The sequence below is a fragment of the Homo sapiens genome, chromosome 14 (genome assembly GCF_000001405.40).
Source record: "Homo sapiens chromosome 14, GRCh38.p14 Primary Assembly".
NCBI lineage: Eukaryota > Metazoa > Chordata > Mammalia > Primates > Hominidae > Homo > Homo sapiens.
This window is the reverse complement of record NC_000014.9, coordinates 106,305,631-106,329,964: the sequence shown is the minus strand read 5'-3', so window position 1 is coordinate 106,329,964 and position 24,334 is coordinate 106,305,631. Positions and strand designations below refer to the sequence as shown.

Genomic DNA, 24,334 nt, shown 5'->3' with positions numbered 1-24,334 from the left:
TCATATTCTAAAAATCATCGTTATCACACACCATGGTAACAATTCAAGGTTCATTTTTCTAACGGCAGTTTCTCTTTTTTATTTGGTTGCAAGTTTGAGGAAAGGAACATGTGATAATACTTTTTAACCTAACCTCGAAATCTACTGAATTGTTCTAGGAGACTCACAAATTGGACAAAGTGAGCTCTTTATTCTCATAAAAATGTGTGGTTTTGGGAATTTCACTGTGTTGCCCAGAACCTGTTAACATCAACAACTATGTTTCTCAGCACACTTCTGGCTTGAGACGTCCTTGCAGACCCTCTCCCTCACCTGCACTGTCTCTGGATTCCCCATCATAACCAGTGTGTCCTGCTAGAATTGTATCTGCTTGCCCCTAGAAGATGGACAGGAGTGGATCAGGTGCATGGGTTGTGAAGGGAGCACAAATTACAACCCACTGCTCAAGAGTCCATATCCAGATCCAAGAAACAGTTCTTACAGCTGAGCTCTGTGCCCAGTGAACACACAACTACGCATTTTTAAGCAAAAGACGCAATGAAGGGCCTTCATTGTGAGCCTAGACACAACCCTCCCTGCAGGGGTGAATAGGAGCAGCAGGGGGCATTCGGGGCAGTATGGGGGCTTAGGATGATTGTTAGGGGTCAGGATGAGCAGGATCAAGGCTTCGCATCAGGGCAAGTGCAACAGGGCAGAAAAGGGGCTGTAGATGTGGGTTGTTCTCACCATCATATTTCACCACCAGACACCCTCCACTACATCTCTTCTAATGTGTCTGAGTGTTGATATGATTAGAAAATGGCATTTATGTAAATACTAATATGTACCCATATGGAGGTGCATCCAGTTGTCTTCTCCATCTTATGTGGACCTTGTCCATCAAGCACTAAGTCCCTGTATTTACTTGAGTACCTCACACATTATGGTCAAAACAGGTAGGGTCTCCTTTTGGCATGGTCTCTCCTCCTGCCTTCTCTCTTCTGTCACACAAAAACACGTGAACTGACACACACACAGAGCTTCCCAACTTTAATTATGTGATGTATTGAAGCAAATTGATTAGTGTGCAGCTTTTCTGCTTTGCCTGCTATTCATGTTATGTAAAAATAAGAACCATGTTTTTCTCAGCTTGTCACTTCTCTAAGCTAAGTAGCATCTTTGTTTATTATACCCAGAGACCAAAAGCGATCCAACTGTTATTCAGCAGCTTAACTGGTAAACAAATTGTGGAAAATTCACTTACTGGAATCATACCCACTGCTACAATCAAGTAATGCTGGATACACCCAACACCATGCTTAAAATAGCAAGTACTTGAATAAGTAAAATAAGTCAGACAAATAAAAGTGCATACATACGATTCCACTTCTATAATTTCTATAAAGTAAAAATGAACTTAAAGTTACATAAAAAGATCTGTAGTTGACTGGGGACATGGTACAAGAAGAGAAGGTATAGAAAGGAGAAACTACAGGAGAACAAAAGGAAATTTCTAGGATAATTGATTTTTTTCTCTGTTAGTAAAAGTGAGGATTATGTCAATATTTGTAAAATTGTACACTTTATGTAAAGATTCTTATTTGCTAATTTCACCTCATTAAAATATTGCAATTTTTTAAATGTCTAGTTTGGTAGAAAAGGTAGTAGAGAGAGATGAATAAAATACATAAAAATCAGAGAGTCCTGAATACACACATGAATGGACCCTGGGTCTCACTGTACTTTTAGGGAGACACTAGAATACAAAAACATAATGACAGGATTTCAGTACATGAAAGGAGCTTCTCAGACCCCAGGAGGCATGTCCAACTGCGTCTGGGAGTTAACTCAGGGAGCAGGCATGTCCTTTGGAAGGAGCCGTGACACCAAGCTCCCAGCATCCATTGTAGCCGACACCATGCCAATGCCAAGAGATCTCAACTAAAATTTTCTGTGGATGTTGAGTCTGATTATGCCACACACTCACACCAAGTGAGTATGGAAAGGATAGTTACCTGCATCCTTAAGGTGTCTGCTGAGAGCAGGGCAGGTCTCTCATTAAGGTCCAAAGTGGCTTGATAGGGCAGGGAAGGAGACTGGCTCAGGGTTGTTATCATGGTTTGGTGGGGAGCGGGGCAGAGCATCCTACTTGCAGGAAGGGTTTTGTGGGGTTTCAAGGCCAAATTGGCATCAAATGAGGGAGCTCCTGTGATTTCTAACTAGATTTACCTTGTATGCTTAAAAAAAGAGATGATGGAGGAATGAGCCTGAAGTTATCAGCAGTCAGGCCTAAACACAGAGTCTGATGACTTACTCTAAATAGCAAGTATACAAATGATGAGTAAGAAAAGAGACAAGACTCCAATATGGGTGGACAACAGCCAGGTCTGCAGAAAATGAGAAGACTGTTTATAAGCAAAGAATAATGAGTAGGATATGGAGGAGGATTCTGGTCCAATGTCTTGTGTGGAAGCTTCTCATGATTTGAGATCATCAGCTTATTCTGAAGGTCTTAGGTCACCTGTCTTCTTCAAAATATCAGAAGTGCCTGATGATATGTGAGGATGCGCAGTTTAACTTCCTCTATTTGAGTAGCTTTACAATTGTGTAAAATTCTTAATTAATTAATTTTTTTTTGAGACGGAGTCTCACTCTCTTGTGCAGGTTGGACTGCAGTGGTGTGATCATAACATAGCTCACGGTGATTTTAAATTCCTGGCTCATAGAATCCTCCCACCTCAACCTCCTGACTAGCAAGTAGCTAGGTTTCCAGGGCCCTTCATCTACACTTGGCCGGTTCTTTACATTCTTTTTTTTTTTTTTTTTAGGTGGAGTTTCCCTCTTCTTGCCCAGACCGGAGTGCAATGGCGCCATCTCAGCTCACTGCAATCTCCCCCTCCCAGGTTCAGGTGATTCTCCTACCTCAGCCTCCAGAGTAGCTGGGATCACAGGCATGTGACACCATGCCCCGCTAATTTTGTATTTTTAGTAGAGATGACGTTTCTCCATGTTGGTCAGGCTGGTCTCAAACTCCCTACCTCAGGTGATCCTTCCACCTCAGCCTCCCAAAGTGCTGGAATTACAGGCGTGAGGCACCACACCTGGCCTCTTCGTTTTTATTCATATATTCCTTCAGCAGCCACTATGTCTTCCCACTGATTTCTTCAGTTTCTGCCTTTTCCTTTTGAATAAGGCTGTTACTCCTGAGGGAAGATGGGAGGTGGGCCTGGACAGGGACTTGGTGCATTCCTCTCTCCCCTCCCAGTTCTTATTGGTTTCTCCAGTGTCTGTAGAACAGTGGTTTTGATGGCTTTACCTCTGCAGATAATTTCTCTTGCAATGTAGTGCTGATGGGGAGGTGTGTCTGGATGCACTTCACCTATAGTTGCTGTTTTGCTTTCCCAGACAGCACCATCCCAAGGGGTAGAGGGTGGAGCATTTTGTGATGTATCCCCAGTACTGAAGAAAAAGCCTTCAATAGCAGGAGGAATTCCTCAACTGCATACACTCTGAGAATTTAAACAATAACTTCTCTATCACACTCAAATTGAAACCACCCAATGAATATGTCTACTTTAATCGTGTGCTAACTTAAATGACATTTGGCAGCCTCTGTCCCAGAAAAGATTATCATCTGCTCCTGTTTATTTCCCTGCAAGTCTTTATGTCTGTTCAGATTTCAGATATATTGTTTGTCCTATAACATCAAAAATTTGATGTATATATGCTAATTTGCAGATCAGTAAGTTTAGTATTTGTTATAAGAATAGTAACATATTTTTATGGGGTGCTTACATCTCCAAGCTGAGAAGCACCTCTGTGTAATACTAAGCAACTAGAAATGGTACAAATATCAAGAAGATACATAGATAAACAGTAATGGCATGCTAATTTATGGTAATAACATCCATCATTAGAATCAATACATTGTTGATGCTCAACATGTGTGCATCATAAGTAGTTATGTGCGAGAAGCCACACAAATAAAACACATACTATGTAATTCCTGTATAATAAATTCTTGAAACTCAAAACTAAGGTATTAAATGTGAAGGACTGACTCAGAATATGGTGGAGGAAGAAAATAATTGGGAAGGAGGAATTGTAGAGGAACACAAGGAAACTTTTAAGTGTAATTTGTTTATTCATTATTTGGATGGCTTTTGGGGATGCACAGGTGAGCACGAGTGGAATAACATTTTGTTTTGTTTGTTTGTTTGTTTTTTTCTGAAGAGATGTGGTCCTACTCTGCGACCCAGGCTGGAGTGTAGTGGTGGGATCATAGTTCAATGTAGCCTCCAACTTCTGGTCTCCAACAATACTCCTGCATCTGCCATCTAAGTAGCTGGAACTACCGTTGTTTGCCAGCAGGCTTGGCTTGAGTACTTATTAAACCGCACACTTTTTGCAATATTTAATGTATAGTAATAATGTCTCAATAAGACTATTACAAATCAATGAATGAATAATTTGTTCTGTACAGATTTATGGAAAAATAGACACTAACATGATGAATGACTGACATTTATGAAAATACAGCTGCATGAAATGTGCTTCTCTTTACATTCATTAGGTAAACACAATAGTGCATACACATCACACCGTGCTTTCATTACAGGAAGAAAGATCTGAAAATGTCACTGGGGTGAACCATATTGTGCTGGGCTTGGTTCAGGAAGCAGTCAGGCCCAGTGTTGTGACCTTCAACCACAGAATCCTAAAAAATAATAAAAGAGGCTCCCCCAAAGTCCCCATCAGTTCCTGGACTCGCCATGTGTCTGGGCCGTATCAGTGCATCCGGAGCTCCCTGGTGGCTTTAGGGATTCCTTGCTTGCCATGCTGAGGTCTCGCTATAGATTATGTTGGGTTTTCTGAGGCCGTTTTGCTATTTAAGACCCACTCCCTGGCACAGAGCGATTCCCTCTAAACCTGATAGAGGTTCTGAACTACAAATAACGTTAAGTGAATCCTGGTGTGTCTGAACTCACATGATTGTTACATTAAGCTGCTGTTGCAATCTGTTTCCTCACCTGGGAAAAGAGGAGCCAGGACATAGTGAGTTGAGGCCCCAGGAAGATAACTGAATTCTCAGAGGGCACAACCAGCATCCTCCTTCCAGGGAGAGCCTAAAAGACTGGGGCCTCCCTCATCCCTTTTCACCTCTCCATACAGAGGCACCACCCACATGCAAATCTCACTTAGGCACCCAAGGGAAACCATCACACATTTCCTTAAATTCAGGGTCCTGCTCACATGGGAAATACTTTCTGAGAGTCCTGGACCTCCTGTGCAAGAACATGAAACACCTGTGGTTCTTCCTCCTGCTGGTGGCAGCTCCCAGATGTGAGTGTCTCAAGGCTGCAGACATGGAGATATGGGAGGTGCCTCTGAGCCCAGGGCTCACTGTGGGTCTCTCTGTTCACAGGGGTCCTGTCCCAGGTACAGCTGCAGGAGTCGGGCCCAGGACTGGTGAAGCCTTCGGACACCCTGTCCCTCACCTGCGCTGTCTCTGGTTACTCCATCAGCAGTAGTAACTGGTGGGGCTGGATCCGGCAGCCCCCAGGGAAGGGACTGGAGTGGATTGGGTACATCTATTATAGTGGGAGCACCTACTACAACCCGTCCCTCAAGAGTCGAGTCACCATGTCAGTAGACACGTCCAAGAACCAGTTCTCCCTGAAGCTGAGCTCTGTGACCGCCGTGGACACGGCCGTGTATTACTGTGCGAGAAACACAGTGAGGGGAGGTGAGTGTGAGCCCAGACACAAACCTCCCTGCAGGGAGGCGGAGGAGCCGGCGCAGGTGCTGCTCAGGACGAGCAGGGGGCGCGCGGGGCCCACAGAGCAGGAGGCCGGGTCAGGAGCAGGTGCAGGGAGGGCGGGGCTTCCTCATCAGCTCAGTGCTCTCCCTCCTCCCCAGCACCTCAGCTGTCCCCAGGACTCCTCTTTCTTTATTATCTGTGGTTCTACTTCCTCACATCCTTGCTGCAGGTTTTAACAGTCACTGGCACCCTTTTTTCAACAAATTCCCACAAGGCCCATTTTACCTTCTTGACAAGCAAAATATTCTAAGGCTTCTCACTATCCCTTGATTGGCGTCATCTACTGCATCGTGTCTTTCTCTTAAATTCATGTGATGAAACCCCAATCCCAGTGGCTCTGTATTGGACAGAGGGATTTTAAGAGGGCAAATAAGTTAACTGTGGCCATAAATGTGGGACCCTAATCCAGTAGGACTCTTGTCCTTATGAGAAGTGGAAGACATCAGAGGCCTCTCTCTCCACATGCACACAGAGGAGAGTCCATGTGGGGATGCGCTGCATGAGAAGGTGGCCCTTTGCAAGCCTGGAAGAGGCCTCTCAAAAAACTTACCCTTTCTGCACCCAGATCTTGGACGTCAAGACTCCAGAACAATAAGAAAATTAATATTTGTTATTTGAAATAGCCTAGTCTGTGGTATCTTCTCATGGAAAGCCAAGTAGATTCAGAGATTCAATTGTGTTAGCTCCGTCTCCTGCATGGAGTAGCAGCCCACCGAGGCTGGACACATCTCTCAAATTATTTTCATAAAGAAAAATAGATCCAAGATGAAAACCCCACCACATTTCTGCTGAGCCATTCACTTAGCAGCAGTCTCTGAGATCAGCCCTGGGGGTATGTTCTAGGTCGTGTATCTCACTTTCCACTATGAGAATCCATGTAGATAATGAGAACCAGCCAGATGGAGTCCTGATCCCTGCCCACCTTCTGCTTCCCCCCAAGTGACACACGGTCACAGAAAACCACTCCAGCATCACCCTGTGTCTTGTACTCTCTAAAATCCCACTAAAGCTGACCCTAAACTAGGAGCTATTTGGGGCTGGACTCATTCTGTTCTTAGTCTTCCATAAGGTCCAGGTGCCGAGTAGAGCCTCAGTAAAGAGTGAGCTTCAATTCCCCTAACCCACATCATTCCCTTACATCCTTGTCATGCACCTGTCCTCTGCAGGCACCCAGGGCAGGTTACACAGGAATTGCCTGAAGCTGGTCTCAGGTGCCCTGCTGAGACCACTGGTTATGCACACGTATGATTTCAGGTCATGCAGGCTCTTCTGCAGGACAGACCTGTGTCCTGTAGAGCACAGACACTTGGTGACCCAGGGCCTCCTCTAATAACTCATACATCTCATGTCAGTGTATATCCAGGTGGCCCCTCAGTGCAGCACACTAGGGTGATTACCCTCACAGGTGGCTTTTTCAGGCGGTGAACAGAAAATGGGGTGGGCACGCTGGTCATTCCCATCATCGGTGATATCCAAGTGAATTTTAAATAAATGAAACAAAACTAACAACAAAGGGGAAGGATATGTACCTGTATCTGGGAGGTAGACTGGGTCCCAGAACTGTACTGGGAGTGGGTGTGAAAGGCCCTTTTGTGTGGGAAGCCCTCCAGCATGAGTGAAAGCTGAAGGAATGATCACTGTAGGTGGAGGCTGATGGAGAAGCTGGCAGGGTACATTTCCTGAAGCTGTTCCCGGGTGCGTGATGGTTCAATGGCCCATGTACATGAAGAGGAGGGCTGGACTCATGTAGGATCAAGGAAACTACCCCATGGCAATGGAAGAAAAGAAAATGGAGATGGACACCCCTGGAGGCAGCTTATTAGCTTTGGTGGAGGAACGATGGGAATTTATTCCAATGACCCCAGCATTTTCAGCTAAATATGAGTTGCATTAACAGACAGAATTATGAAGGGAAGGGAGAAGGAGTTTATAGAGGGAAAAAGCAGAACAGAAAAAAAGAACTATGCAAGTCTATCAAATGGCAGATGACAGAGTGGAGCTGATGCAGCTACTTCATTCTTCCCGGAACCTACCAGAGACCTTGGCATTCCTGTAAGGCAGGTCTAGTGGTGATGCACTTGTCCACTTTTTGCTTTTTGGAGAAACGTTTGAAACATCCTACATTACTGAAGAAAAGCTTTAATTAGTGTAATATTTTTACTTGACAGTTTTATTGGTTTTGTTTTATTTTCAGCAACTTGAATAGAATCATGCACATCATGATATTTGGGTGAACAACAGGCCACATACACGATAATGATCTCATTAAATTATAATACTGTATTTTCACTGCATTTCTTCCATACTTAGATATGTTCATATATATACATACCTACCATGGTGATTCAACTGCCCACAGTATTCACTACACTTACATGATGTACAGATTTGTTATCTAGGAGCACTATGCTATCCCACACAGCCTGGGTGTAGCAGGGTATTTCACGTAGGTTCACGTAAACACACTCTATGATCCTCGCATGATGACAAATTGCCTAAGGACACATTGCTCAGATGTATCCCTACTGTTAAGCTACACATCATTGTATCTCATCTCTCTCCATTTTTGGTCTCTGATAAAATTCTCGTGTTGTTTTTGCATTCTTCTCTGAGCTCATTGAACACATTTATAAGGTTTCCTTTGAATTTTCTGCCAGGTAATCAATATACCTCCTTTTAATTTGTGTCAGTTTCTAGTGCTTTGCTTTGTTACAGAATTTGGACTGCTTTTTTTCTCTTTCATTATTATTATCACTTTGTACATTCTCTGTTGCTTTCTGCTCATTAGAAGGAAAAGCCATGGTAACCACTCTTCACAGAATATGCTCAGGGCAAATGCCATCACCTGTTAGCCCAGTCCATGATAGTGGTGTCTCTTAAAATTTCATACTGGTCCAAACTTTTTGTTGTTGTTGTTAGTGGCACTCAGACCTATAGAGGATTTTAAGTTTTCCCCTACTCTAAATTAGGTGGCATCAAAATTCATCCTGCAGGCAGTCTCTGATAAAGTGGAGAAATTGGACAAAGTTTTAGCATGTATATGGTTCATAAAAATAATATGAGTTTAAGGTTTTCTCAGCCAGTTGCTACATATTGATATTTTATAATCATTTCTTTGAATGTCTCTGGAGTTTATCTTTTGAAAATTTAGATCAGAATATATACCAGGTTTGAGGCTTCTTGTCTGGCTTAACGATCTCCTATAGGTCAGCGTGTGAAAAGGCACAGAGTCTATCTGAAGAGGAGAACTCAGGGAAGCCCCAAAACAACAGAGGAGACAAAACTGAGGACTTTGAGGAATCTAAAGCTTCTGGGACCTGCAGCCTCCAGACATGCTCAGCACCCTCTTGTTATCCACGGACTAATTTCTTTCTCTTTTCTGAGTGGTATTTTCTAGGGTTCCCGTCCTCCACTTTGACACTTTGGTATGTCCATGTGTGTCCATTGTGTTTCAGCCAGGGACACAGAACCAGGAAAACATCATGGCTTTTCTAGAGGGAGCTGACCTGGGTAATCAACAGTTGGAGTAGAAAGTGCCTTTGTCCATGTGTCACAGGCCTAAGGGCCATGGGCAGGAGGTCAGGAAGAGAGGATGACCAGACGGCTGGGGAAACCAGGATGAACAAAGCCACTCTCCTTCCTGGTGAGAAGGGGCATGTGGAAGCCTGGTGTCCCTGTAGGGCTGAACCACACTCACCTGCCCACTGCTACCTGCCAACGAGGTGACCCACAGAGCAGCAGCAGCTCCTGAGTCACTCACAGAGGCTGCCTCCTCCTCCAAACCCTCCAGTGTATGTGCTTCCATAAGTGTGAGCCCCAGCAGATCCCAAAGTTTTCAATGGGTTCATCTAGCTAGTGTCTGTCCTCAGCCCCATCCCCAGGCTCCTGCCCTGGTTGGTGTCCACAGTGTCCCAGCAGCGGTGACAGTGACAGCCAGGGCCTGCACTTTCCAGAGCAGCAAGTTTGGAAGAATCAAGTCCCAGAACCAGCCTGGATTTGGGGCAAACACACAAATTTCACTCTGAGGGGAAGTGCTGGAAAGTAGCCTTGAGTCTTCCTCAGCTCACCTGTGGCTGATCCTCTGCATCCCATCAGCGATACATGAGCCCTCCCCAACCCCAGCGTGGAGCTGTTTCAATCGCAGCAGGATGGGAATGTGTCTTCTTTCTGGGGACTTTTTAAGCACAGCTCTTATGTTCCTGAGATTTGAGGTTTATAAAGGTGTGTCAGTCACCCACAGAGTGGACCTGCACAAGTAAGACAAGGACAGGATCCCCAGGAGAGGCACCTCATATGAGACGGGACAGGCAGGTCCCATCACAGACACTGGTCCTCAGAAACCCTGACCAGCTACTCACCTTCCCAGGTCACCTGTGTCTGATCAGTTCCTGTGTTTGCTCCTGAAAAGATCCCCATCAAGGGTCCCCAGGTCCTGCCCCCTTCCTTGATGTGCCTCTGGGAGTGGGGCTGGCTGGGCTGTGGGTCTGCTGTGACTTTCCCCACAGGTCAGCGGCTCAGTGCAGGCTGCGCCAACTCGGTGGGGCTGGGCTGTGGCCGACCCTCCCAGGGGGAGCCTGGATGCTTCTCGGGGGCATCTGCAGGATCCCAGGTTCTGGGAGAACAGGGAAGCCACAGTGTGTGCAGGGCCCCATCTCCAGGTGTAAAGTGTTTGCTGTCACTCTGTTGACAAGGGCATATCCCCAGGCCTAGGGGCACTGTGGGTGCACAACCAATGTGGTAGACACAGAGAGTAAGGCACATTTCCCTCCCATTACTGTGGGGAATCTAGGCACTGTGTGTGTGTGTGTGTGTGTGTGTGTGTGTGTGTGTGTGTATTAGGAGTTTTGCAGTGGGCTCTGAGCCCCGTGATTTTGTAGGTTTAGAAATTATCTGATGAGATGTTCATCCACAGGAACCGACAAGAGATTAGGTGTTCTCCCAAAGCCCCTGGGAGCTCCTGGACTCATTGTGAGTGTGGACTGATCCATTGCTTCCGGAGCTCCACAGAAGGGGCTCCCTGGTGGTTTCATAGAATCCTTGCTTGGGGTCTTTCTGCAGAGTTCACTGGCTTTCCTACGGCCAGTTTAGTATTGTAAGAGATGGTGTCAGCAGCACATGGTATCACATGTCACTAAATGAGCATTCTGAGCCAGGACACAGCATCTTCATACTGGGGGGAGGGAAATGCTTTGGGAGCCCAGACAGGAGCCTCTCTGCAGTGCAAGGGCTGGGCTGCAGGGGGCGCTCAAGGCCCACCCATCACAGGCTCCACCCCCAGAGCAGGTGCACCGGAGGCTGGGGAGGGATTCCTCTCAAGATCTGTGTCATTCTTCTAAAAAAAATCTAAAATGAGTATTTGACAAAGACTGCTGAACATTCTATAAATATCCTATTCAATTGTGAGCATTTATCAAATTTGATGTTGTAATGAGAACCACTTTTATACTAGATATTTCTAACCCTGCTAGATATCTTAATAGTATGCAGCTGGAGGTTAAGCAAGCTTTTCTTTTATATAAATAAGTGCAACTTTGGAGAAACACACTCATCCCCCGAATAAGACATTCATGTATTAAAGCCTAGAAATACTTTAAATTACCTCTGAGCCATTCAAGTGTGTGTTCACAGTGAAGTCCTGTTCTAGGGAAAATTGTTCTCCAGGGGGAGAAGCTTTGTCAACATAGAGCTTAGGGATGTATCAGGAGGCACATGACCTCTAAGGGGATTATAGCTTGAACCCTTAGCATCCTCCTGTTGGTAATACATGTGTCACTCTCCAATCTTTCTCATGCAGTATCAGGTATGAAATAGGATCGCTCATGAATATGCAAATAACTGAGGTAAATATAGATATCTTTGTGCCTTGAGAGCATCATCCAACAACCACAACTCTCCTCAGAAGAAGCCCCTAGACCACAGCACCTCAACATGTACTGGACCTGGAGGATCCTCTTCTTGGTGGCAGCAGCAACAGGTAAGGGACCTCCCAGTCACCGGGCTGAGAGAGAAACCAGGCCAGTCAAGTGAGACTTCACGCACTCCTGTCTCCTCTCCACAGGTGTCCACTCACAGGTGCAGCTGGTGCAGTCTGGGCCTGAGGTGAAGAAGCCTGGAGCCTCATTGAAGGTTTCCTGCAAGGCTTCTGGATACACCTTCACAAGCTATGCTATCAGCTGGGTATGACAGGCCCATGGACAAGGGCTTGAGGAAATGGGATGGATCAACACCAACACTGGGAACCTAACGTATGCCCAGGGCTTCACAGGACGGTTTGTCTTCTCCATGGACACCTCCGTCAGCATGGCATATCTTCATATCAGCAGCCTAAAGGCTGAGGACACGTGCAAGAGGCACAGTGTGGAAACCCACATCCTGAGAGAACCAGAAATCCTGAGGGAGGAGGCAGCTGTGCTGAGCTGAGGCAGTGACAGGGACAACGTGGCTGCACCCTTTGTTGACATAGGGTTATACACATACATATATATGCACCCAACACTGGAGCACCCAGGTATATCAAGCAAATACAATTAGAGATAAACAGAGAGATAGACCCAATACCATAATAGCTGGAGACTTTAACACCCCACTTTCAGCATTGGACAGATCTTCCAGACAGAAAATTAACAATGAAATCTTAGACTAAATCTGCATGACAGACCAAGTGGACATAATGGATATTGATGGAACACTTCATCCAATGGCTGCAGAGTACACAATCTTTTCCTAAGCATATGGATCATTCTCAGGGATAGACCACATAGTAGACCAGAAAATTTGTCATTTTTAATTAAAAAGATATCATGTACCTTCTCTGATAGTAATGAAAGAAAACTAAAATAATAAGAGGAATTTTGAAAACACATGGAAATTAAACAGTATCCTCCTTAATTAAACAATGTGCTTCCAAACTGAACTATATGCTCTAAAATGGGTTAATAAAGAAACAAACAAGAAAATTTTACAATTTATTGAAAGAAATGATAATGAAAACACAGCATATGAACACCTATGAAATACAGTGAACATAGTACTAAGAGGAAAGTTCACAGCTATAAGCACCTATGTTAAAAAAGTAGACAATTATAACATAAACATCTTAGGAATATCTCTCAAAAAAAACTAGAAAAGCAAGAGCAAATCAAATCCAAACATAGTAAAATAAAAAAGTTAAGATCAGAACGTTAATAAATAAAATTGAAATAAATAAAACAATACCAAAGATCGATCAAATGAAAAGTTGTTTTTTAAAAAGATAAAAGACATCTATAAACCTTTAACCAGACCAAGAAAAAAAACAAAGAAGACCAAAGTAAATAAAATCAGAAAGAAAACTGGAAATATTACAACCAATAGTGCAGAAAATCAAAGGATCATTAGAGGCTACTAGGAGCAACTAAATGCCAATAAATCGAAATATCTGGAAGAAAAGGATAAATTTAGAGACACATACAACCTACCAAGATTGAGCCAGGAAGAAATTGAACAGATCAGTAACAAGTAGTGAGAGTGAAGCCATAATAAAAGGTCTCCCAGCAAAGAAAAAACCCGGGACTTGATGACTTCATCACTCAATTATGACAAACATTTAAAGAAGAGATAATACCTAATCTCACTCAAAATATTCCAAAAATAGATAAAAAGTAGATAAGGAAGGGAAGAATTCTTCCAAACTTACTGTACAAGGCCAATGTTACCCTTATATGAAAACCAGATAAAGCCATACCAAAAAAAAAAGAAAACTACAGTTCAATATCACTAATGAATATGGATGCAAAACTCCTCAAGGAATTCTTAGCAAACCAAATTCAATAACATATCAAAAGAGCATTCATCATGACCAAGTGTGGCTTATCCCAGAGATGCAAGGATGGTTCAACCTATGCAAATCAATCAATGTGACACATCGTATCAACAGAATGAAGGGCAGAAGACGTAAGATCAGGCCTTACCTTGTTCTCCTCACTCAAAGTCTACCATTAGTTCTTTGGTCCTCTTGACCAGTCCTGCTGTACTTGGTCTCCCGTGATTCTGTTCCCAGGTCCTGAAACACTGGGCTTCTGCACACCTGGAGTCTCTCTCTTTGAACATGGAGACCCTGTATCCTCAGAGAGGGATGATGCCTCATTGTGGCTCCCATGCCCCATGCAAACAATTCTTCCAACACAGTCATGATTTTTCCTGTTGGAAATTGAAAGGGGATGTGGGAATTGATGTGTGTGTGTGTGTGTGTGTGTCCTCAGGCCTGTTGGGCCTGTTGAGAACACAGCAGGGCTCTATGTACAACAGGAAAGCAATGTTTTCTCTATACCATCTATTTTCTTATAAAGTGTTCATAGGTAATCAAAAGGAAATGAATCACAGTTTATAAGATGTTGTGGACTGGACTGATGTTGTCACTCAAGGCTACTATGGGGGCTCCAGGAAAAGAAACCTAGAAAAGGATAAGACTGTGAGCAAAGAAGCAAAACCTGGGAAGCAGCAGGGAGAGGGTGAGCAGGGGTGACTCAACTGGGGAGGGATAACACCACTTACCACAGAGGGTGAAAACTCCGTGCTCAGCAAAGAGGAGAACTTACTCAGCATTTCCCCTAATCCTCCCTCCAGAAGCGCGACTGCCAGGAAAGTTCACAATGTATCATCTCCAGCTGGGAACCCAAAAGAAACAGGAGATTTTAGGGCGTAGGTCCTGGGCACAAGGTGTTTCCCTGGTTCCTACCCCTTCCCTCTCTGTCCAGCAAAACTGCTTGTTTCTATCACTTGCCTTCCTGTCCTTGGGGTAAGAATGGATGCTTTGACACTCAGCAGAGGGATGCTCTTTCAGAGGAGGAATGAGTTTGTGTTATCTGATGTCTGAGCAGGACACTCACCTCTGGGAAGAGGCTCCAAGACAGAAGGTCGCCGTGGTTCCTGCCCCTTATATGTGAGGGGCTCTTGACACATGCACACTTTTCCTCAAACTCTGTTTATACCCCAGCAACAATGCTGGGTGTTGTCAGCCTCTCTCCTCCCCAGATACTGCTCTATCATCAGCTTGAGCACAGTTTCCCCATGAAAGGCATTATTCTCTCTCTCAAGAAGATCAACTTTTTACATGTCTTCGATGGATGACAGTTTTTCTGTGTGAGAATCTAGAAATAAGAAATGGGGTAATGGGGACAAGTGAGCTCTCTGTGTGACTCACTAGGAAGTCCACTGTTATTCCAGGTGTCCTGTCCCAGGTGCAGCTGCAGGAGTCAGGTCCAGGACCCATGAGGCCCTCAGACACTGCCCTCTGCCTGTGCTGTGTCTGGATTCTTTTTTTTACCATGGATATTATTTGAGATGAATCCACCATCCCGTGGGCAACAGGCTGGAATGGCTGGGGCACAGTTACTAGACTGGATCATCAAGGAATACACATCATGCACCCTCCACCCAGGTCCATGTCCCCATCAACAGTGACTCAACCAAGAGCCAGTTCTCTGTGAAGCTCAGCTCCATGACCACCTAGGACACGGCTGAGTATTACTGTGAAAGACTCAGTGAGGAGGTGTCCTTATGAGCCCTGACACAAACCTGTCAGGGCACTTAGGACCTCCAGGAAGACTCAAGACCACCAAGGGGACTCACGACCACTGGGGAAGGGCAGGTTGCAGTAAGCACAGGGCCAGCCCCAGAGCAGGTGCAGGTGGAGATGAGAGGCTGGTTTACTGCCAGGGTCTGGGGCTGCTTCTCCATTTAGATGTTTCCTTCAGAGACCCTCCCTTATTTCATGATGCTCTGCTTAGCTGTAAGTCTCTGAAATATCACAGTTTTGTTGTACCAGGAGGAAACCTTCTCTCAGGTGCTAAATGTAGAACAATCTCTCTGCCAGTGGTTGCCAGGGTCACAGCCCTGTGGAAGCTGAAGGGTACCCAGTGAGTCTTCTCCAGTCACATTCAGGACAGGAACCTTAGTGGGGTTCCCTGAGGAGAACAGTCTTTAGGAATTCTAACCTCAGCCAAGAGAGGCTGGGCCAGGGTCAGTGTCAGGTAGAACCTCACAGGATTTACGTCTGACCCTTCTCCTGACACTAAAGCATGCAAATCAGTATCAGCACTGATCTGGGGCCCCTTTTGCTCCTAGCCCATTCTATTTCTTGTTAGTTGTATTTGTTGTTGATTTTCCTTTTGCTGTTCCTGATCCCTGTAAAGTGGAGATGTGGTTCCTGCTGTAAAAATTCCAGGGCTCAAGCCCTTTCCCTGCAGCTCAGGTGGGGCTCAGACTGTGGCTCCTGCAACCACGTGGGAGAGGCTGATGGGACTATCTTCTCTCCCGTTGCTCAGAACCCTCCAGTGTGTTGTGTGGAGACTCACCTGGGAATGCAAGTGGCCAATAGTTGTGAAAGGTATGAGCTTGTTTGGTCAAAGTGGAATGTGGATGTGGAATTTATCCTGTGTTGTGCAAACTAACACAGGTTCACCTTCCTCACCTGTAGTGTTAGAAAGAGTGTGAAAGTTGTAAGAATCAAAACAGAGCCACTTGTGTTAACACCCTGACAAATGGACCTAGGAATGAACATGAAGGAGGGTTCTTAGGCCCATATTCCTGATAACAAAAACTATCATAAATAGACTCTGCTTAGCCACCATCTTGGATAGAAGCCCACCACAACCTTATTAAAAATTACACTTGCAAGAACATCAGCTCAGAAACTGGCTGTTCAACCTTACACTGATGCCACCATTGCTATTGATTCTACAACTATATGATAATTATCTCAAAACAACTTTTGTAACCCACCTCATTTTCACTTCATAAACCTGTGGATTGACATGTTGGAGTTACTGCTGCATTTGTAGATAATGATAAATAATAAGGCCTTTTAACAATGTTTGAAGCTGCTATTCTCTGATGTCTCTTCCAAAATAAAGAATTTCCAAGTGGATGACAATGAAAAAATTGTTAGAAATATTTGGTGGTAAGGCATCTTTAACATCCTGTTGAATGTTTCTGCATAGCACATCAATCCCTTAAAATACTTTGCTATATCTGCATTTAATGAATGAGTCTAATATTGAGGTGCAATTGAAAATACCTGGGCCTTTGATGAATCAGCTCATAGGGTGATAATGTCTGGGTCCTTGAGAAAGCAGACCCTGTGTTGTAAGTTTTAGTAGAAGTACCTTTTGCAAAGAAAGTTCATGTGTTTCTGAACATTATGCTACTTTTAACTTAAGAATGCAATATATGATTTATTTTTACTTCAAACTGGGTATATACCCAGTAATGGGATCGCTGGGTCAAATGGTATTTCTAGTTGTAGCTCCTTGAGGAATCACCACAATGTCTTCCACAATGGTTGAACTAATTTTCACTCCCACCAACAGTATAAAAATGTTCCTATTTCTCCACATCCTCTCTAGCAGCTGTTGTTTCCTGACTTGTTAATGATCACCATTCTAACTGGAATGAGATGGTATCTCATCGTGGTTTTGATTTGCATTTCTCTAATGACTAGTGATGCTGAACATTTTTTCATTTGTCTGTTGGCTGCATAAATATCTTGTTTTGAGAAGTGTCTGTTCATATCCTTTGCCCACTTTCTGATGGGGCTGTTTGTTTTTTCCTTGTAAATTTGTTTAAGTTCTTTGTAGATTCTGGATATTAGCCCTTTGTCAGATGGGTAGAATGCAAAAATTTTCTCCGATTCTGTAGGTTGACTGTTCACTCTGCTGATAGTTTCTTTTGCTGTGCAGAAGCTCCTTAGTTTACTTAGATCCCATTTGTCTATTTTAGATTTTGTTGTGATTCATACTTGGTTAATTTTTAATTGCATTGTTTTCTTCTGATTAGTTGTAAGTATACCTGCATATTGATCAAAAAAGCCGTTTAACAAATCAAAAGGAAACATTTAACAAATACGTGACTTGGAAGTATTTTCTCCAAGTCTGTTGTTGTCTTTTACTCCCTTGTCAGTGTGTATTGCAGAAAAATATGTATGTGTGTGTGTGTGTGTTTACAAATTAAAGAAACAGGTATAATTTCATTTATCCATAGATCACGTCTTTGGCATTACATCTGAAATCTCATCATAAAATATACTAATAGTGATTTTTTTTTCCATGTCTCTAATCTCAGGCCACAATCTACTCATGAGTGTTTAAACATCACCTACTTGATTAGAGGACTATCACCCTAAGATATTTGGAATATTTCTGGAAGGAGATGTGTTCTTTTTCCCATTATTTCTCTATTTAGTCATTTATTAATATCCGCATTGGTTTATGAATGTCTATTTCATACTCTGAAGTAAATCCATGCTATATTATTCATTTTATTGTTCAAATCACCACAGCTTTATTATGTGCTTGGAACTCATTTAGTTTGGATGCTGCATCCTTACAGCACACCTCATCATTTTGTTTTTGAACACTTTCCTGTTTCCTGGTATTACAATACATTCTAAGCCCATTTTCTATATTAACTTTTTCATACATAGAATCAGACATTTTTCTAAAGATTGCTTCTTTCTGATGTTAAAATATAGTATTAAAATAAAATTTGTGATACTGGGTATATGTGTTGTTAATGTGGTATAAGTACTTTTAGGACCTCTCAACCAACTGGCCTAGTAAATGTGCATGTTTATATGAACTCATGTTTAAGGACACATTGAAACTATTTATGTATCTTATATTCTGTAACTTTATTACATTAAAAATGAGAATACACTGGTCTCCTCACCCAACTATGTTACCACCATATCGACCTTTCTAGGCTTCCTTGACTGTCCATAATCACCCACTGCAAAGTGAGGAACCCCATCCCATCATATGCCATTGTATTACTTAGCTGCACAATTTCAGGACACATGCATTGCAGCATCAGAAATGTAAAGCTGTACCCTTCTTGGAACCATTTTTATCTACTAGAATAGAGTGCTTATGTGCAGTTTCTTTACACTTTAAACTTATAGAATTTCCTCATTTTCAAAGTTCCTTAGATCAGCAACTTCGTTTTCCACTTTCTTCATGAAGTCATTTCAATTACACTGTATAATTTCTTTATTTGAATTCTGTAAAAGCCAAAACTACAGTCAAGTAAACATAGAGAGGATATTCCAGGAATTTACAGAGTGGGTATCAAATAAGTTAAAAAGGCAATGTTTAAGAAGAGTAAAACTATTTTTAGTGATATGCAATGGTTGAGACATGACACAATTAATTTGTCTAAGCTCATAATTTTGTGATGAAAAATATAAACCTAAATATATACAATTTAAAATGATGTTTAGCAGTACATTATCCCTAGGATCAAATGCAGACTGTATAAAATTATCTAATAACTTATTTGGTGAGGATGCCATGAGACACATGCAACAAAGAATGAACTAATTTTCCTTATTTGCATATAAGATGTTGACATTCACTAAAGATCTTTAATTTAAAAAAAAATCAATTTTCTATGTGACCCAGGTTTTTTCTTCCAGACAAGCAAATAACCCACAGGATTATTTTCTTTCCTTGATTGAGAAAGATTTTCCCCAAACTTCAGCTCAGTTCAGGCATATACTGTCCCTAAATGGGCATTTACCCTCAGATGAGTCCACACACCTGTCAACACGTGGAGTCTTCTGTCAGACAAACACACCTTTACTGATGTGGATTCTTCCCTCAGACAAAAACACATGTCCCCACATGGACACTTTCCTCAGACTACCATGTATGTCCTTACATTTACGCTTTCCTCAGAAAACAGACTTTTCCTCATGTGGACTCTTGTCTCAGACAAGCAAATATGTCTCCATGTGAACTCTTCACTCAGATAAGTACACATATGTCCACATTTACTGTTTCCTTACACAGGCACATATATTCAATGTTGAATTGTTTTGTGGCAAAATGATCTCAAGATAATGGTAATTATAAATCCCCTCCCTAATAAAGTGTAGATCTGTATTTTTTTTGTTGTAACCTAACTTTGCCTTATTGTCAAAAACAGTAATTTGCAGCTCTAAATGCACCAGTTAGAGACAGGTGTCCATTTTCTCTGGAAATGTATTTTTATTTTCTTACTGGACATATTTGTTGATAATGTTGCTACTATGAAGATACCTGAACAGTATCCACATTAAAGAATAAAAAAGAGTAATGGGCAGAATAACCCTGTGCATCCAGACCCAGAAATCCTTTGACCCTGCCCTCCCGAAATGTAGACACAGAGGATGGATGAGCAGTGCTGAGCAGTGTACCCATGACCACAAACATGAAGACATGGAAATGTGTCCCCACTCCTCCTCATGAAAGGCAGCTCATGCCCTCTTCCTTCAGGCCCTGGTATGGAGCCACCCCATGTCTCTGCCCTTCCTTAGTGTCCACACCATGGGGTCTGCACTGATCTGGATTCCCTTCTCATCCCCCTCAATATTAGTGTGCCTTGTGAATCAGGTCCAGCTGTGGCTGTTCTCAGTCTGTTTCCTCTGTATTCACAGAAGTCCTGTGTGATGTTTACTGATGGAGTCAGAAGGAGAAAAATTTAACAGCCCAGCAGTTCACTGAGACTGTCCTGCAAAGCCTCTGGTTTCGGGTTTACTGGGTGCAGCATGAGCTTGGTCCAGCACACTTCACAACAGGAATTGGTGTGGGTAGCAACAGTGAGAGATCATATGGGAGTTCTAAGGGTTACTCTCCATGAGTACAGATAAATCAACATTCCCAAGTGACACCCTTTCAAGTGCAGTCTACCTTACAAGGACCAACCTGAAAGCCAAGGGCAAGGCCGTATATTACAGTGAGGGACACAGGGGAGGGAAGATCTGTCTGAGCCCAGACACAAAAATCTCTGCAGAGAGACAGGAGGGAACTGCGTGGTAGATGCTGCTCAGAACCACCATGGGGTGGCCAGGAAACAAGGGGTGCTTAGGACCTCTAGGGAGCGCTCAGGACGCCAGGGGGGTGCTCAGAACCACTAGGGGACGCTCAGGACACTAGGTGGCGCTCAAGACAACACTACTGCACTCATGTCACCACGGGGTACTCAGAACCACCAGGGGGCGCTCAGAACCACCAGGGGGCGCTCAGAACCACCAGGTGGCGCTCAGCACCACCAGGGGGCGCTCAGGACACCAGGGGGCGCTCAGAAACACTCGGGGACGCTCAGGACAAGAGGGGGTACTCAGAACCAACAGGGGGCGCTCAGGACCACCAATGGGTGCTCAGAACCACAAGGGGGCGCTCAGGACATAGGTGGTGCTAAAGACAACAATTCTGGGCTCAGGTCACCAGGGGGCGCTCAGAACCACCAGGGGACGCTCAGGACATGCAGGTTCTCTTAGGAGGCAGCTGCACATCAGGAGCTTCAGAGGCTGTGATTTCCTTTCAGACCCTGGAAATTCCTGACCTGGTCAAGCAAAAGTCTTCCCCAGGATGTCTGATTTTTCCTTTTAATTCCATGATTTCTTTTACCTACAAAACACTAACTTAGAACAGGGATGTAATGCAACTTTTATTGCTGCGTATTTTCTGAGTAATACTAGCAATGATCTCTCGGGACAATTATTAAAATAGGTTATTTATATATTTTAATTATTAAAAATAATACTATTATTAAAATAGTAAAATTTTTTAAATCACACTTGTAATCCCAGCACTTGGGGAGACTGAGGCAGACAGATTACTTGAGCTCAGGAGTTTTAGAACAGCCTGGCAACATGGTGAGATGCTTTCTATACATAAAAGAAGAAATAGCTGAGATTGGTGCAACCAGCTACTTAAAAGGCTGAGGAGGGAGGATTCCTTAAGCCTGGGAGGTTGAGGCTGCAGTGAGCTATGATTGTGCCTCCACACACCAGCCTTGGTGACAGAGTGAGACCCTGTCTTAGAAAAAAAAATGCATATCCTCAATACAGACTATTTCCATGAATAGAGTTTTGTGTTTTTGTGCTGTAATAGTCAAACAATTGTATATGTTTTCTAACTTTAACTCAGCATATGCATGGTGTTTTGTTTCTTTTTCTTTCATCTGCTGTTTGTGGAAAATAAACAGCACTTTAAAGGCTCTGTTTCTCCACTTTGTTTGGCTTCCAGTGTCCTGTTTTTCAGACTGTTTCTCCACCTTCCCTTCTTCTTTGAAAGCCATTTATCTTCCTCAGTCTCCATGCAGAAAAAGAAAGTCCCTTTACTTTCTGTCTTCCAAGTCTGGTGAATCAGTTCCCTTCTTTTCATAATCACTGAAGCCAACCAAGTTTAGAAGTATAACAGTTCTCCTTAGAATACGCTCATCTACCTGCACTCTCTGCCCTCCTCATCCTTTTCTAGGTCCCTCCAGACATCACCCTCATCCCATACCCTCCCTTCCTTAAGTACCACAGAGTGGGCTCTTCACCTCCTGCTGCCCTCTATGTGCTCAGCCCTGGGGCTCACTAGTCCTTTGATTATGAAGTCCAAATCCCTATGTGCTTGCACACTCTCACGCCACCCTCTAGGAAGCTGCCATTGTGAGAGAGTCCTGAAAAGCATGGGCTGGGTTTAGTTTCATAATGCATACTATGGTCAATTAGTTATTCTATTTGAACATTCTATTTAATTAATAGATAGAGTTAATTAAATAGAGTTATTCTATTTAATTCTATTAAACTATTAATAAATTAGTTATTCAATTTATTAATAACAGGCCAATATTTAAAATAAATACCATTGCACGTTTAAGTGACATATTTGACAATAATTGCATTTACATACAGTTTTACCAAAACATGTATCGAAGTGTATTTGTTTTTTTAAATATTGGAATAGGCAGACATACACATAGGAAAACATTATTTTGTACTACAATCTCAAACTGCAAACACAATTTAAATGCCATTAAATAATTAGAATAATATGAAACAAATGGGCATGGTGTTTTGGTGTTTAAATATACATTCATTTCACCTGATCATACTTATGTGTCTTTGCTGGGCTGCTGTGCATGTATGTGTATTTGTATGACCATGAAGCTTTCAGATACATCATTAAATTACATAAAGTGTTACCATGCACTTCCCTCTTTTAGGGGACAAAGTAAATCTTTCAGGGCAATCGCAGGGAAAATGTGTGGTTGGATCTTCCACACAGAGTCCCTACCATGACATTGCCAAGTAGAGCTATGGAAGGGGGCTACCAACCTCCAGACCCCAGAATGGTAGATCCACAGGCAGCTTGCAGCTCGAGTCTGGAAAAGCCACAGGCACCCAGCTCCAACCCATGAGAGCAGCCTTATGGGCTGCATTAGGGAAGTCACAAAGGTAGGGCTGCCCAAGGCCTTGGGCACCCACCCTTGCACCAGGTCACAAGACATGGAGTCAATGATTATTTTAGAGCCTTAAGATTGAAGGACTGTCCGACTAGGTTTTGGCCTTCCATAAAAATCTTTACCCAATTTTTGGGCCATTTTCTCTTTTTAGCATAGGACTCCTCACCCAATTTCTGACCCATCATTGTACTTTGGATGTAAATAACTTATTTTTGATTTTTCAGTCTCATAGGTGAAAGGAACTTTTCCTTGAGTCTGAACTTTGGATTTTGAATTAATGCCAAAACAAGTTCAGATTGTCAGGGACCACTGGGGAGGGATTATTGTATATTGCAATGTAAGAAAGACATAAGGGGCAGAATGATGTGGTCTGGATGTGTGTTTTCTCCAAATCTTATGTTGAACTGTGAACCCCAGTGTTGGAGGTGAAGTCTGCTGGGAGGCATGGCATTAGGGGCATATCCCTCATGAGTTACTTCGTGTCATCCCCTTGGTGATGAATGAGTTATCAGTTCACATGACAGCTGATTGAAAGAGCCTGGTACCACTCCCTTCTCTTATCTTCCCCCCTATTGTCATGTGACACTCTTGCTCCCCTTCATCTTCTGCCTTGACTGTAAGCTTTCTGAGGCACTCAGCAGAAACAGATGTCAGCACCACACTTGCTGTACAGCCTGCACAACTGTGAGCCATATAAAACCTATGTCCTTTATAAATTATCCAGCCTCAGGTATTTCTTTACAATTCAATAATGGACGAACAGAAGAAGTATTTAATTGTGCAGCAAATTAGGGGTGTGGAATCATTAAAATGGACTTAACGCCTGTAGAGGTAAAGACACAAGAGTCTCTCTCTCTCTCTCTCTCTCTCTCTCTCTCCTTGAACCCTTCTCTGTCTTTACATACACACACACACACACACACACACACACACACGCTCCACGTGAAGATGTCATGTGACCAAATAGCAATATGGTGGCTGCTATGAGCCAACAGTAGAAGCCTCAAAATAAAACCTATCTTGCCAGCATGTTTATCTTTGAATTTCCAGAATTGAGGAACTGAGATAAAATTAAGGTTGTGTAAGTTACCAAGTATGATTGTTTTTAATGTTTGAACTGACTAAAGAGAATTTGGGATGAAGAAGTGGGGTTCTGATGTTACAATTATTTCAACACTGTGGAAAGTGCCTTGGAATTGGGTTATGTGTAAAAGGCTGGATAGTTTTGACATGCATAAAGAAATTTATATATTAAGTGTCATTCTGATAGATTAAAATGAG

General features: G+C 43.1%; 4 pseudogenes, 1 gene segment (V, D, J or C) and 1 further gene; all 6 read left to right on the top strand.

Annotated features, from left to right (window-relative positions):
• The window catches only part of IGH (immunoglobulin heavy locus), a 1,293,408-nt gene that overhangs the window by 549,880 nt on the left and 719,194 nt on the right, over positions 1 to 24,334 (top strand).
• Positions 279 to 533, top strand: IGHVII-28-1 (immunoglobulin heavy variable (II)-28-1 (pseudogene); annotated as a pseudogene). The gene is given in 1 exon segment: positions 279 to 533. A coding segment is annotated over 1 exon segment (255 nt).
• Positions 5,277 to 5,711, top strand: IGHV4-28 (immunoglobulin heavy variable 4-28). The segment is given in 2 exon segments: positions 5,277 to 5,322; positions 5,405 to 5,711. Coding segments are annotated over 2 exon segments (353 nt in total), but the record flags the coding sequence as incomplete, so codon positions are not given.
• IGHV7-27 (immunoglobulin heavy variable 7-27 (pseudogene)) lies at positions 11,729 to 12,142 on the top strand (annotated as a pseudogene). The gene is given in 2 exon segments: positions 11,729 to 11,774; positions 11,859 to 12,142. Coding segments are annotated over 2 exon segments (330 nt in total).
• Positions 15,005 to 15,317, top strand: IGHVII-26-2 (immunoglobulin heavy variable (II)-26-2 (pseudogene); annotated as a pseudogene). Its single transcript is given in 1 exon segment — positions 15,005 to 15,317. A coding segment is annotated over 1 exon segment (313 nt).
• IGHVIII-26-1 (immunoglobulin heavy variable (III)-26-1 (pseudogene)) lies at positions 20,253 to 20,559 on the top strand (annotated as a pseudogene). The gene is given in 1 exon segment: positions 20,253 to 20,559. A coding segment is annotated over 1 exon segment (307 nt).